At 48.5% G+C, this 13,323-nt stretch overlaps 1 protein-coding gene across 5 annotated transcripts; it reads left to right on the top strand.

Moving 5' to 3' along the window:
• Positions 1 to 1,002: 1,002 nt before the first annotated feature.
• On the top strand, positions 1,003 to 3,638 carry TP53TG3 (TP53 target 3). 5 transcript variants are annotated; one of them, NR_110886.2, is made up of 4 exons: positions 1,003 to 1,432; positions 1,538 to 1,704; positions 2,103 to 2,391; positions 2,604 to 3,638. NR_110886.2 is itself a non-coding variant. In XM_011545779.2 (3 exons), exons 1-2 carry the CDS (start codon positions 1,071 to 1,073, stop codon positions 1,572 to 1,574), a joined length of 399 nt encoding a protein of 132 aa, XP_011544081.1. In that variant the 5' UTR covers positions 1,003 to 1,070; the 3' UTR covers positions 1,575 to 1,704; positions 2,612 to 3,638. The 5 variants fall into 5 exon arrangements, 2 of the variants coding, with proteins under 2 accessions (XP_011544081.1, NP_057296.1); NR_158180.2 differs by lacking the exon at positions 1,538 to 1,704 and having other exon boundaries at positions 2,612 to 3,638; NR_110910.2 differs by lacking the exon at positions 1,538 to 1,704.
• The last annotated feature ends 9,685 nt before the right edge of the window (positions 3,639 to 13,323 follow it).

Raw genomic sequence — 13,323 nt, 5'->3', positions numbered from 1 at the left:
GCTCCTGGATGTTTCCATTGTCCACACACAAAATTTCAACAGACCAGCCCCAGGAAGTAAAGGCACATTCCTGACTACTGTTAGTTGATGAGCTTTTCACCAAAAGCAGAGATGTGAGACCTGGCAGGTTTCAAAGACCCCTCAAGTGCTCCATACCTTGAAATTCACTTCCACAAAGCTAGAACACCATCTGTTCCTGAGGGATCAGGTTATCGTCTGTTTCTTTTAGGCACTGGTCAGTCAGGCTTTAGTGGACACGAAGCCACAGATTTTTAGTGTAAAATGCCTAATCTATCATAATCTTTAGGTAGATATTTGGAGGCCTGCACACTTAAATGGGTTGGTGAAATGTCATACCAGACACATGGCTGGGAATTGGGTTTTTCTCCTCCGCTCTTAGCAGCACCTTTGTAACCCAGTGATTACCCCCCTCATGGCTCCACGGCCACATCCGCAAAAAGGGTACTGGTGAACGTGACATTTTCACGAAGCCACAGCCCATGGTCACTCCCTGCAAAGCTCTGAACTTGCGCATTCCCAGGCCAGGCCGTGGTTGTCTTTCCAAGGCGGCTCAGCTTGTGCTTTGCTTGGAGAGAGCGGAGGGCAGCAGCACAGTGACAGCGTCTGGGACCTCAGACCAGTTTCCACAGCCACTTATGAAAGCAGACGGCTCCATGGGCTGGAGGAGGTGGGACGCTCTGGAAAGAACTCGGGTGCGAGTGGGAAAGAAAATCGAGCTGAGCAGCTGGAAGTCGAAGTCGCGTGAGTGAGGACCAGACACTCTCGATTTAGGCAAAGGCGGGGTGCACTTCCCAACAACACATCCTCCTCACTGGCGAGACCAGGCCTGCCCTTCAAGTTCCTCTCCTGATTTAATCCCCTTGGCGAGGGTTTGGCATGAAATCAATGGCCAGCAAGCTTGGTAAACGAAGCCGCCTACACCGCCCTCCCCCTCCCTGCACGGCCGCGCCCCGCCTCCGCTCCTGTCTCAATCTGGGATTGTCCTCCTGTAGCCCCACCATCCACCGTGGGGAACGGTGGAGAGACTACAACTCCCAGTATGCACCGCGATGCGCGCCTCACCCTGCATCTCCCAGCCCGCAGCCAGCTGGCATCCTAGACCCTCTGCCCTGCGACCAACAGCCGGGAGCGGACCAGACACCAGAACTCCCGGAACGGTTGAAGACGGTTCCGCTCCCTGTCCCGCCTTTCGCAGCCCAGCAGTTTCGCCCTGCGGAGAGGAGCCTTGCTGTTTCCAAATCTCTCCTGCTGAAGAGACATTGGAGCTAGGGCGGCTAGTTTCACCTGGTAATTGTGACACCCTGTCTCCTCGAGCTGCAGGCTTTTATGCTTGTCATGTTCGAAGTTTGATACCTTGCAGATCAACAAAGGGCCGGTGGCCTCTCACTGCCTCCGCGGCAGGGTTGTCAAGGTAACGCTCCTCAGACAAGGGTGGGGCGCGACCCGCCCCTTTTCTCACCCCGCCTCCTCCTCAGCCCCACCCTCCTTCGCTCCTCCTCTTGTCACTCCCTTTCAGACATGCGCAGTGCGGCCCGTCCCTAGGGCTGGGTTAAGGGCCGCGGATGTGGCAGTTCTCAGGCCTCTTGGGATCGCCTCAAGAAGCCCCCTCACGAGTGTCTCGATTTCCTGTCAGCCAACAAAGGGCCGTTCGCCTTTCATGGCCTCCACAGCAGCGTTGCCGTGGTAACGATCCTCCGCCGGACGTTGGCCGCACCGCGCCCCTATTCTTGCCCATCTCCCGCTCCGCCCCGTCCCTTCTCGCTCCTCCCTCTTGTCACACCCGTTCAGACATGGGTAGTGTAGCCCGTCCCTAGCGGCGGGATAAAAGTCCTGCCCTTTCACACATGCGCAGTGCACCCATTCCTAGGGGTGGGGCTAAGGGGCCTGCCCTTTCGGAAATGCGCAGTGCAGCCCGTCCCTAGGTGTAGGGTAATGGCGGCCGACCTGGAGGCTCCTTGGGATCCCCTCGAGAAGCCCGTTCATGAGTGTCTGAAACTGTCACTTGACTGCCAGAAGTGAAAACATCGTGTCCCTAGTCACCTGCCATTTGCCTTTTCAAAACCATTTCCTCTGTTCTCTAGGCTGTCACAAATCCTCTGCACCCCAGGAGCGCCGCTTGGACCCCCGGGCTCGCTGCGTGGTCCATATCTAGGTCGGGCCTCTCACGGAGACTTTCCCACCAGTGTAATAAAGAGGAGAAAACGTCACAGCGGAAGGGCCTGACCCTGCTGCATCCACTAAGGAAACAGCTACGGGGATGGGACCCTGGGAGCTGCTGTGGAGCCTCATCCACCGCTTCTCTGACCCCACCCAGGCTGCTTCCCAGGCCTCAGGGTCTTAGTGTGGACCTCCGGGCCGTGATTAATGCAGGTCAGCAGGACCAGAGCGCCCCTTGGTCCCTCCCAACACATGAGGGTAGTTTGTGTGGTGAGGTCAGGGATAGTGTCTGCGCTTCTACCCTGAATAGGGCTCCCTTGGAAAATACTTTAATATCTCTTTTTAAATACCCCCTTGGACCACTTTTAATAGTTTTCTGATAGAACTAAACAGTGATCATTCTCTTAATTCATGTTTCCATTAAGTTTTTCAGGTTAAGTACTGCACGACTACTCGCTTCTGAAACTGATAGACACTGCCTCAGCTCCGTGCAGGGCAGACGCACAAGAGCAGAATCTCCGTGGGACATCTCTCTGGAGCATCAATATTACTGCAGTATTTGGAAGAAACAAATTTAAATAAGTTCTAAGGTGAAGAATGGAACATTTAAGACAAGTCTGGAAAGTCATCTGCCTTTAATAACTGTCGTTTGTCCTTAACGTCAGACTTTCTCCAAGACCAAAACTCTAAGAACTTATTTCCATTCTTACAAATAGTAAAAATGATAAATCATATCAAGTCAATTGAAAGTCCTGCCTGCTGCTTTCCTAAATTGCAATATGGCCTTGGTATGGTTTTATTTGTACTTTTGTGGGGGATTCGTGGATCTTTAGATTAAAAAAAAAAAAATAGGTTTTTGAACAATTTTTGCAAGTTTGCAGCTGTTAGTTATTGATTTATTTTTCCAACCCATCTAATTCTTCTGTCTCTCTCCTCTCCTCAGGCTCAATAATTCCATGGGTCTCTAAGGCTGTGTTTATTTTCTTTAAATTTTGTTGATTTACTTTTATACTCCATTTGATTTTTTCTATCTCTCACCTTTTCTCAGACTCAGTCATCCCACAGGTCTGTAAGGCTCTGTTCATTTTCTTTAAACTTCTTTTTTTTTTCCTCTCCTCAGATTGGATAAATTATATTGCTATGTCTCTGTTTCTGAACTATAGAAAAGCTCAAAATTATTATTTTTATTTCTCATTTTTTATATGGCTATTTTTTCTCTGCTGATGTTTCACATCTATTCATTTATGAGAATATTTTCCTTTGCCCTCATGAGCGTGTTTATAATAGCTGCCTTCAAATTCTTGTCTGCCGTTTACATCTTGGACATCTTGGAGATGGCTACTGCCTGCTTTTTATCTTGTGTATTTATTACATTTTCACGTGTCTTCACGCATCCCTTGAATTGGAAATTGTGCCCTGGAGACTGTATACAAGACTGGATTAAAAAGACTGGATTCTGTTTTGTCCCTGTGAAGAGTGTTGTTTTTAAAAGATGGTGTTAAATGGGCTGGATTCTATCTTCAATACTTATCTCTCCTATGGAAGTCATAGCCAAAATATGCATTCAGTTTTTATATACACATATTTCATGTATGTATTGTATATAGAAATGTTTCTATAATGATATATAATAATTTACCCAGGATTCATCATTTTTCTGTGTGAGAGTGTTAGTTCAGTTAGCTACTTCATCATTAGTGGAAGCCAGAACCTCAGTTTTGATTTTTGAGTGTAATATAAAAAATTACACAGTATGGATACTTTTACATCAATTTTTTAATGCAATATTATATTTGTGATATTTATGCTGTTACAGATATCTACAGTTTGTTCATTTAAAAAAGTCCTTTTTTACATTGTGGTAAAATATACATAAAATTAACCATTTTAACAATTTTTAAAAGTGCAGGACAGAGGAATTAATCATACTCACATTGTTCTACAACCATCATCCACATTCATAGGGAAATTTGTTCATTTTGCAAAACTCAAACTCTGTTCCCGTTACCTTCCTTTTGGCCTCTAGGAACTACTCTTCTACTTTGAGTTTCTATGAATGGAACTACTGTAAGTACCTCATATGAGTGGAATCATACAATGTAGTAAAGAAGTCACGAGGAAGAATAATACACACTGTATAACATGCTTATTAATTTAAATAAACAGAGATCAGTAGTACATGGTGATTATAGAGAAAGACAGATAAAAAAGAAAAAGCAGTTAGAAGGGTGTGTAAAATTTATCACTATGGTGTCTCAAGTTTTAGAGCAGTGAGGCCCCGGCCCCAGACACATTACTGGTCATGGTGAAGCTGGGAGCCCAGTGCAGCTGTCTGACTCCCAAAGCCAACACTCAGGCCAAATGTCACTGAGCCCTGAGGCACTCTGCCCCTGCCAGCCCAGGCACTCAATGGCCCTGAGATTCACCATGGCCTGTTCTTGGTCTTGAGGGTGTTGCTGGCCTGCTGGAATAGGGGCCCGTCTGACAAAACAAGTAGGAGGAGCTTCAGAAAATAGTGGCAGCTGTGAGGCTACCAGGAGCCACACCTCAGGCTTCCCACTGCCTGCCCAGGGTCCCCATGCAGCAGGCCTAATGTTGACCAGGGAGCTATGGCCCCAGGTTCTCTGAAGCTGGCCACAAGATAGAGTCTTCTCCTAGTCTTTGCTAATCTGCTAGGCCCTCATCTTTTATTCTGACTGTGCAGCTTCATGCACTGGAACCAAACCCCAAATTCCTCCTCAGTCAGAAGATGACGATTATCTCTTGTCACTGAAGCAGCTGCATTTCCTGGAGGACTTTGATCTGGAGACAGAAGGAAGGGCAGGATTCTGACAGGTCCTGGGTGGAAGATGACAAAGGGAACTTGTGGGGGTGTGAAGGGGTAGGGACAATTTCTAGGGCCTTTCTTTTAAGGGGTCCTACCCTCCCCTCCAATCCCATGTAGCCCCAACCTGTTCTCAAGAGTTGGATATAAACAGTCCCTCCTCTAGGAGTTTATCATTGATTCTATTCCCCTAATCAAACCCTCCATTGGGATGGGGCTCCTGCTTCTCTGTGTATCAAACCTTCCCAATAAATCTAAGATGCAGAGGATGGAGCCAAGGAGTGTCTTCCTCAGGGTGGTGTCTGACTTTCACATCCCCACCCTCCCTCAAAGCGACAGCGCCAGCTGCTCACCTTCTTCCTTTATTAGTGTTGATTATATGTTCTTAGGAGGTAGACAGCCAAGATTCATGAGAAAGGCTTCCTGACACAGGACTAGACCTCATCCCTTATACTTCCTATGCTGCACCACCACCAGGGCCACCAGGGTCAGAGCATGTGCATAAAACAGGACTTAGACCTGCATCAGGTTCTGGGCTCCACAGAAGGGACACTGAGGCTCAGTGACCTTTCTCCCTGATTCTCTGTGATGATAGGGAGACAAAGGCCTTGGAAACAAAGAAGTTACTCAACAATTTAGGACCTGCCTGTCTTAGGAGGGGCCCAATTTCTCTCTTCTGCAATGGGTACCAGCTAAGGCAGAGGCTGAGACTTAGCTCTGCAGCTTTACTACTCAAGGAACAGGAAATGGTGTCTTTGCTGGAGGCTCCGTCACTCATAGATAAGACGGAACTGACACTGCCATTTACAGGGGCATCTGGTAGGCTCTCAGGAAAGGGGTTTGCTGAGTGCTGCAGTCTCAGGATTCAGTCCAGGACTCTGTCCTCGCAAGCTTCAGGATCCTGGTCCCCACCCTGCCTGCCTGCCCCAGTCTCACTCACATCTCTATAATCCTCTATGGCAATTTCCAGCATCTGCAGGTTGTTGAGAAGTGTGCCCGGGGTGGGGGGTGGGGGGGAGGGGAGTGGGGGCACAGCAGCCTGTGTTATCAAGGTGGTAGCAGTGATGAGCACCAATTCTCAGCTAACTGCACAAGACCTCTCCTTTGAACTCTCACCAACCTATTTCTCCTTGACCCCCGTACCCAAGTCTCTCACTCAGAGCATCCAAGGACCTTTCACCTCCTTGCCCAAAATCTTTCCCTCCTCTTTCCACAGCTGACCTCCAAAGACGCTAAGCACTTCTTAGTTACCTCTATGGTGTGATTTTAATAAATCACAAAGTCAGATCGTCCCCACCCTCACTCTTCGTCTAATCTACTCTGAGCCTAGCTCTCCCAGGCCCTTTCTCTAGTCTCTCTAATGAAGGCATTCCAAGCATTGTGGCCACAGGAGGGCAGGGCTGGAGGAGGAAGACACCCAGGTCTCTTGATGTGGAGAACTCCAGCTGGGAGGGAGGAGCCCTGTCCTTGACTCTCTGGAGCCCCTCCCTACCATAGGCCAATTCACCTGCTGCTGCAGCCCCATCTGGACTCTTTAAAAAGGTTCCTACCTAGTAGAGTCAGAAACAGGGTCAGTGAGACTGTGCCTGTCTCACAGTTACACTCCAGCCCCAGCGACCTCAGATCTTGGATAACTGCCTGAGTCAGCCGGTGTAATGCTCCCACCAGCTCCAGTGAGTCCTGATTCTAGATTTACTCCCAGCTTTAACACTCACTGTGTGTGTAACCTTGGGCATGCAGCCAGGCCTTCCTGAAACTGTTTTTTCATCTAGGAAGTGTGATGAGAACAACACCTTCCTCACAGTACCTCCTGAGGACTCAGTTGCATGTGGCTATCACCATTGTTCTCACCATCATCCCTCTCAGGAAGAGGTGGGCACAAGAATTCTGAAGTTTCCTTCATCCTTTGCCCCTTATCATGACCCTGTGAGGCCTGCACAACAGGCTTTCTGCATTTTCCAGTTGAGGAGACAGGCCCAAAGAGGGTGTTGACTTGCCCAGGAGCCCACAGGAGAGGCTGTCTTCTCCTCCCACCTGAAGAGTCTGCCCTACCTGGCTTCACACCACACACCAGCACCATCACTGACCAGGGTCCCATCCTCTGGACTCTGGGATAGATGTTCACATCCCAATCCAGGCCCAGCTGTGGTGGAAAGAAACCTGGTATCTTGGGAGGCCTGGTTGAGCAGTGCCAGCTTGTCCCAGCTTCACTGGAATTGCTATCCCACAAATTGGGTTTGAGGCTATGAAGAAGACTTCACCTCTTCGATGATCCACCGAGAGAGATTCCCACACAGAGCTCTCTCTTTATCCACTCCCTGCAGTTGGCCTGCCAGTGAAATCACACCTGTGCAGTAGTCAGGCCTCCTGGCCCACCCGCCAGCTGCCAGCCTCCAGTGTCTCTGATACCCATGGGTAATCATGCCTTCCTTGGCAAGGCTGCTGAGATTCAGAAGGACCTAAACAGATCTTTGGCTCAGATGGGTTGCTTCAGCCTTGTGTCCTTGGCCATCTTCCCTTGCCTTCCGAAGGTCCCTGCCAGCCTCACTGTACCAAGCCCTGACCCTAGCGGTCTCTCCGTGGGGACCACATCTCACCCACCCTCCATTGCCAGGGCTCCTGCTCAGCTCTTCTCACTTTCCCAGGACAAGCCTGGCTTCACAGACACATCTAGATCCAGCGCTTTTCTCTTTGTGGTGTTCAAAGAAAGAGTATTATTTTTTTCTCTAAATTGACCTATAACCTACTTATTTTGAAGATGTCCAGGCTGCAGGAGATCTCTACCCATCTACCCAGAAGGCATCAGCCCTTGCTTCAGTACCTTCTCATTCCACTCTGTCACTAAATGTTTATGACCTCAAGAAAATTTGAAGAAGCATAAGCAAGTGCAATTCCATTGGTACCAGGGCTGTAAGGGCGGGGCCAGATGGGTGAACCTCACTGGGGATAAATAGAAATTGTGTACAAGATGGACATTTCAAGGTTGGTTTCAAGAAACGCAGGGAAAACTAACTTTCATAGGTGACAGTATGCACAAGTTAAGCTTCCTAACAGCCACAAGTTCACAGGTTCTTCTATCTAAATGTGGCAATGTGTGACGATGTCTGAATGGCCATAATACACATACATAGAGTAATTTATAGCATTCATTTTTGTATTAGAAATTGTGCATTTCAGCCACAAGTTTTTTATACATGATGGATAGTCCCACATTGCTTGAAGATTGGAAGAGAGAGCACTTTATGAAATGTCCTTTTGGACACATTTTCATTGACGTTTCTATGTCCCAAGAGGCAATGAGACAAGTCATGATAAACTGGCCGTGTCTTCTGGGGTTACACCTGAACTTCTTGGTGTCAGGACCGAGGAAACCAAGGACACAGATATGCCAAAGGTGAGGTTAGAGCAAAAGTTTAATGGGTGAGAAAAAGAGAACAGCTCTCTGCTGCAGAGAGGGATCCAGAAAAAAAGAGTTGCCATTCTGCAGTGAAATACAAGTGTTTTTATAGATGAGCTAGTGGGAGGGGGTATGTTATCCACATAGGGCATGAAAAAGTGGTTAGGACCAGGTGTGTCATCTGCTTAGAGCATGAATCTCTGGCAGCTCACACCCCAACCTTTTATTATGCAGGCAGATTCTCAGCCTGAGCTACTCCAAGTTGCTTATCTCTTTTCTACTGTGCATATGCTACAAAGAGGGGTGGGGCCCCCCATGTTGGATATGTCTGGCCCAAGGTGGTCATTTCTACCCATGCAGCTGCAGGCATCCCTGCCCACACAAGCTTCCAGCTTCCTTTTGTATGATTGCAGCCCAATTTTCCAGGCTGCTCTTTGTTAAAGAGAAGTGAATTCCTGGGTTGCTTTCTGTTAGAAGGGACGTTCTGTTGAGAACTCTTTGCTCTATCTGCCTAGCTAGTTTCTTTCTACATCTGCTCTCAATGACAATTATTCAGTTTTAATGGGGTCCTGGGGGTGGGAACAGATAAATTTGAGACCACAAAGTACCTTAGAATAAGAATTCACCCTTTAGTCAGCTTTAGTGTGAGTTGCACATCTATTATAATATTGGCTTCATGCACTACTGAATATAACAAGAAGGGAAAATGTGTATCTTTTAAAAATCTAGATGACAAATGGACTTTCCACAGATTCTTTGTGTGTTCCTGATTTAGAACTTGTTCATTCCACTGTAGTTTGTTTTCATTGAAATCACCAACTGATGAGGAAGCCTAGGCTGGCAAGCAGGACACGGTGGATTATTTGCAGGAAAGGTGTTTTTGTGGGGACCCTAAAGGGTCAGGCACTGCAGCCCACAGGAAAGCCTCAGCCATGATTCTCTGTGGCGTTGCCCTGGTGGGGTAAGGCAGCCATGCAAAGCTCTGATTCCCTGTCCTGAAGGGTGACATTGGCCGGGCAAGCCCCAGCCTTCAGGAAAAAAGGACAGACAAGGGAGTGCTTCACGTTCCGGCCTTGTTCCGGCCTTGTCATGAGCTCCACCGGCAGCCTGCAGTGGGGCACAGCTTCTAGGTGCCTGGTCAGCTCTGGTCCTTCAGGAGGTGAAAATGACTTTTCTCCTGGATTCTCTGCCCTGTTGGCTGGGCCTGGGAAGGACTCAAGGTCTGCATGGCAGTTTCTGAGTCTCCAGCACCCAGCTGTCTCATTGTGATGATGACAGGGAGAATGGCCAGAAGTACCGGGGTGGGGAAAACGAAGAGCCAGCAGGAGAAGGCGAGCTTCCAGAAAGCCCCACCACAAATGCTTAGTGCCTGGGTAGGCACAGGGATTGCTGGGTTTTGCCTGGGAGCAAGTCCATAGGCCCTGCTGGAGATTGCCAAGATAACCACCCCCTGCCAGAGGTCACCAGGGATTGCCTGAAAACCTTCGGAAATGGTGCATGCCCCTATTGCTCAAAAACTGGAAGAAGCTGCAGCCTCAGCAGGTTATCCAGGCCACTGAGTGGGGCAGCGGGCCTACACTGAGTGCACTCCTACATTGGCAGTAGGCAGCTCTCCTGACCCATCCACCAGCTGTCTGCCTCCAGTGAGCAAGATCTTCAAGGCTGATCAGACCTCCAGTTGGCAGGGCTGATGAGATTCAGTGCGACCTGGTCAGATCTTTGGCCCAGATGAGTCACTTGAGTTTCAGTGTCCTGGACCAACTTTCCTGGACTTCAGAGGGCCCCTGCCAGCCTGAGTGAGCCAGGCTTGGCTGCATCTTCCTGGGAGCCCCATCTCACCTGCCCTCCATCCCCAGGGCTCCTGCTCAGCACTTCTTACTTTCCCAGGACAAGCCTGGCTCCAACAGACATCTCTAGATGCTGTGTTTCTCTTTGTGGTGAGCAAAGAAACAGAATGAGTTCCATTTTTTAATTTTTTTCTAATTTTACCTATAACTTATTTATTGTAAAAAGGTTTGGGCTGCAGGAGACCTGACCCACCCACGCAGGAGGCCTCAGTAGCCTCCCAATCCACCCTGTTACTAAATATTTCCACTCCTAACAATATAGGGGGAAGCAGGAGCAAGTGCAGTTTCACTGCACCAGTGCTGTGAGGATGGGGCCAGAAGGGTCCTGCCCAGTAGGATTCAATAGGAATTATATAGAAATAAACATCTCAATGTTTGTTTGGACGGATTGACATGGAGAAATTTAATTTTGATAGGTTCTAGTACACAGAAGTTAAGCTTCCTAACAGCCATGAGTTTACAGCTTCCTCTTTCTGAATTTGGCAGTGTTTTTTGATGTCCAAATTGCCACGATGTCCACACATATTTACAATAGTTTATATTATTCATTTTGTATTACTAATTGTGCACTTTGGCCAACAGTGTTTCATACATCATGGTTGGTTTCCAACCTTGCTTGAAAATTGGAAGTGACAGCCCTTTATGGAATGTTGCTTTTGACACTCTTCCATTTAAGGCTCTGTGTCCCCACAGTGCTACGAAGACAAATAGTCATCACTCTTCCATTTTGAGGGGGCCAGGGTAAGCAGGTGCAATTTGAGAATACAAAGTACCTTGGAAACAGAATCATCTTTCAATCAGTTTTAGTGTGAATTTCATTTACATTAGAATAGCCTGTTCATGCACTCACAAGATTTCAGGGAGGGACAATTGTCACCTTTGAAGAATCAAAGTGACCAACGGGCTTCCCTCAGTATTTTGTTTATTTGTTTCTGGAACTTAGTCATGCCATTGTAGATCCTTTCTTTTGGAATCACTGGGTGATGAGAAACCCCAGGCTGGAGAGCTGGACACCGTGGAGTCCCTGTGGGAGAACTGTTATTAGGGTGGCCTAACTTGGAAGGCACTACAGCCTGTGGGAAAGCAGCATCCAAGATTCTCTCTGGCGTGGCCGGGTGCTGGGTGAGGTAGCCAGCCCAACAGCTTATTCTGTTTCTGGAATGGTGACTCCCAGCCTGGGCATGGCTTCAGTTTCCAGGAAACAGGCATGGGCCAGGGAGCGCCTTACCTGTTTACTGCTGCGATGTGTGGGGCCTGTATCCGCCACTGGGCACTCCACCTCTTCAAGTGGGGTCCTGTGCATTCCTTTTGGAGGCTTCAAAAGACTTTCCTCTCTGACTCCCGGCGTCTTCACCTGGACACTGTAGGACCCCAGATCTGTGTGTTTCCCAAGTGTCTATAGCGCCAGGTGCCCCATTGTGACAGGGAAGATGACCAAATTAAGTGATTAGGACCGTTTGAAAAAAAAGCAGGAGAGATGCTGTATGGAGGAGGCCTGACATGACTGCCTCTAGCCTGCGGCTGCTGGTGCCATGCGCAGGCCGGACTGGTCTCTGCCAGGGTGATGTGATCCGTTGTGCTGAAGATTCTCACCATTTCCTTCCTTTCCCCATCGGGGACACCTGGGTAACCAGCTGAAGCAGTAGTTCCCCATCCGGAACAAAGACTGCAGACCCTCGCATGGGCTCCAGCCTGCAGGACACAAGCGTGAGCCTTGGAGGACCCCACATACCTAGGTGGTTGTGGGCTAGACCTGTGGCCTTCGCTGGGTTCTTGACTCATTTCTGGAGTGCGAGGGTTTTGTTCTTTTTCAACTGGAGGTGGCAGATGACTGTCCTTCTGGACTTCCTATATGCTCACCTGACCCCTGCGGGACCTGAGATCATTGGGGTTCCCAGGTCTTTATGGCATCACGCCCCCATTGTGACAACAAGGAGGATGACCAAAAGTATGCCGGTGGTTGAGGAAGAGAAAAAAGAGGAGTGGAGTTGCAGGGAGGAGGCTCGAAAGGATCACCTCCAGCCTGGGGCAGCTGGATTGGCGAGTCAGGGGCTGGCTCCTGCCTGGGCAAGACAATAAGCCATGATGAACAATGCCATTATCCTCCTTTTCAGTTGGGGGTACCTGGGCATATCTGAAAACCTTGAAAAAGTGTTTGCATTTTCACAGCTTAAGAAAAGGAAGCAGCAGCAGCTACAGTGGGTTTTTCATGCCTTCCAGTGGCATTGAAGAACCTGCACTGAATGCCACCTGGAAAACAGCCTGGACCTGCACCTTTGGGCCGGGGCACCCGTGGGAGCTCAGCCCTTGCCGCCTCAACCCTTTTTGGATTCTTTTCTCCCCAGACTGTCCCAGAGTTCAGGTCTTCTCATCTCTTGTCTGCCCAGTGAAGGCACAAGGGTGGAAAGGTGAGGGTGTGGAGTCAGGAGCTTTGTTCCAGTGCTGGGCATAGTGAGAAGTCAAAAGAGAGGTTATGATCTCATTGTGCTTGAAGGGGAGAGGCCAAAGCCTAAGACATTCTGCCTTTTTAGGGGAATTACCTTTCAAGGCTTATTTGGTCTTCACTAGCCTTTACATCTGAGGATGAAGGAGTTGAGGCTCTGTTACATGGATGTCTAAAGAGATCATAACTCTCACATTGAACGACACAGAGACTGATAGCTCTAGCACAGTACCTAGGTAATGTGACTCTCTCTTGCTACGTGTGCCCTTCCTACATAAGGAAATGTGACATACCACTGGGCCAAGCACCCAGGAAATGTGACTCTCCCGCCTGTGGCCTGCCTGTATTGGGCAATGTTGTGACACATCTCAGAGCTGAGCACCTAGGTGATGTAACTCCTTTTTTGGGAGCTGTCAATGGAAGGGATTGTGACATATGTTTGGCCAATCACCTAGATGATGTGACTCTCTTGCCTATAACTCAAATTGGGGAGAAATTATATCTTGACAATATTGAGATTTTATGATCATGCACATTAAATGTCTTTCTATTTATTAAGATCTTTTGTGATCTTTCATGGCTCTTTCATTAGAAATTTGTAGTTTCCATTGTATATAGATCTGTGTGTCACAAA

The sequence above is a fragment of the Homo sapiens genome, chromosome 16 (assembly GCF_000001405.40).
Source record: "Homo sapiens chromosome 16, GRCh38.p14 Primary Assembly".
Lineage (NCBI taxonomy): Eukaryota > Metazoa > Chordata > Mammalia > Primates > Hominidae > Homo > Homo sapiens.
Note: the sequence above shows the minus strand (reverse complement) of the source record. Positions and strands in the feature narration are given on the sequence as shown.

Bases quoted from the DNA above. Each gene is read 5' to 3' on its own strand.
- TP53TG3 (XM_011545779.2), top strand. From the start codon at position 1,071: ATGCGCGCCTCACCCTGCATCTCCCAGCCCGCAGCCAGCTGGCATCCT. The intron at 1,433-1,537 runs GTAACGCTCCTC...ACTCCCTTTCAG, and splicing joins TCCGCGGCAGGGTTGTCAAG to ACATGCGCAGTGCGGCCCGT.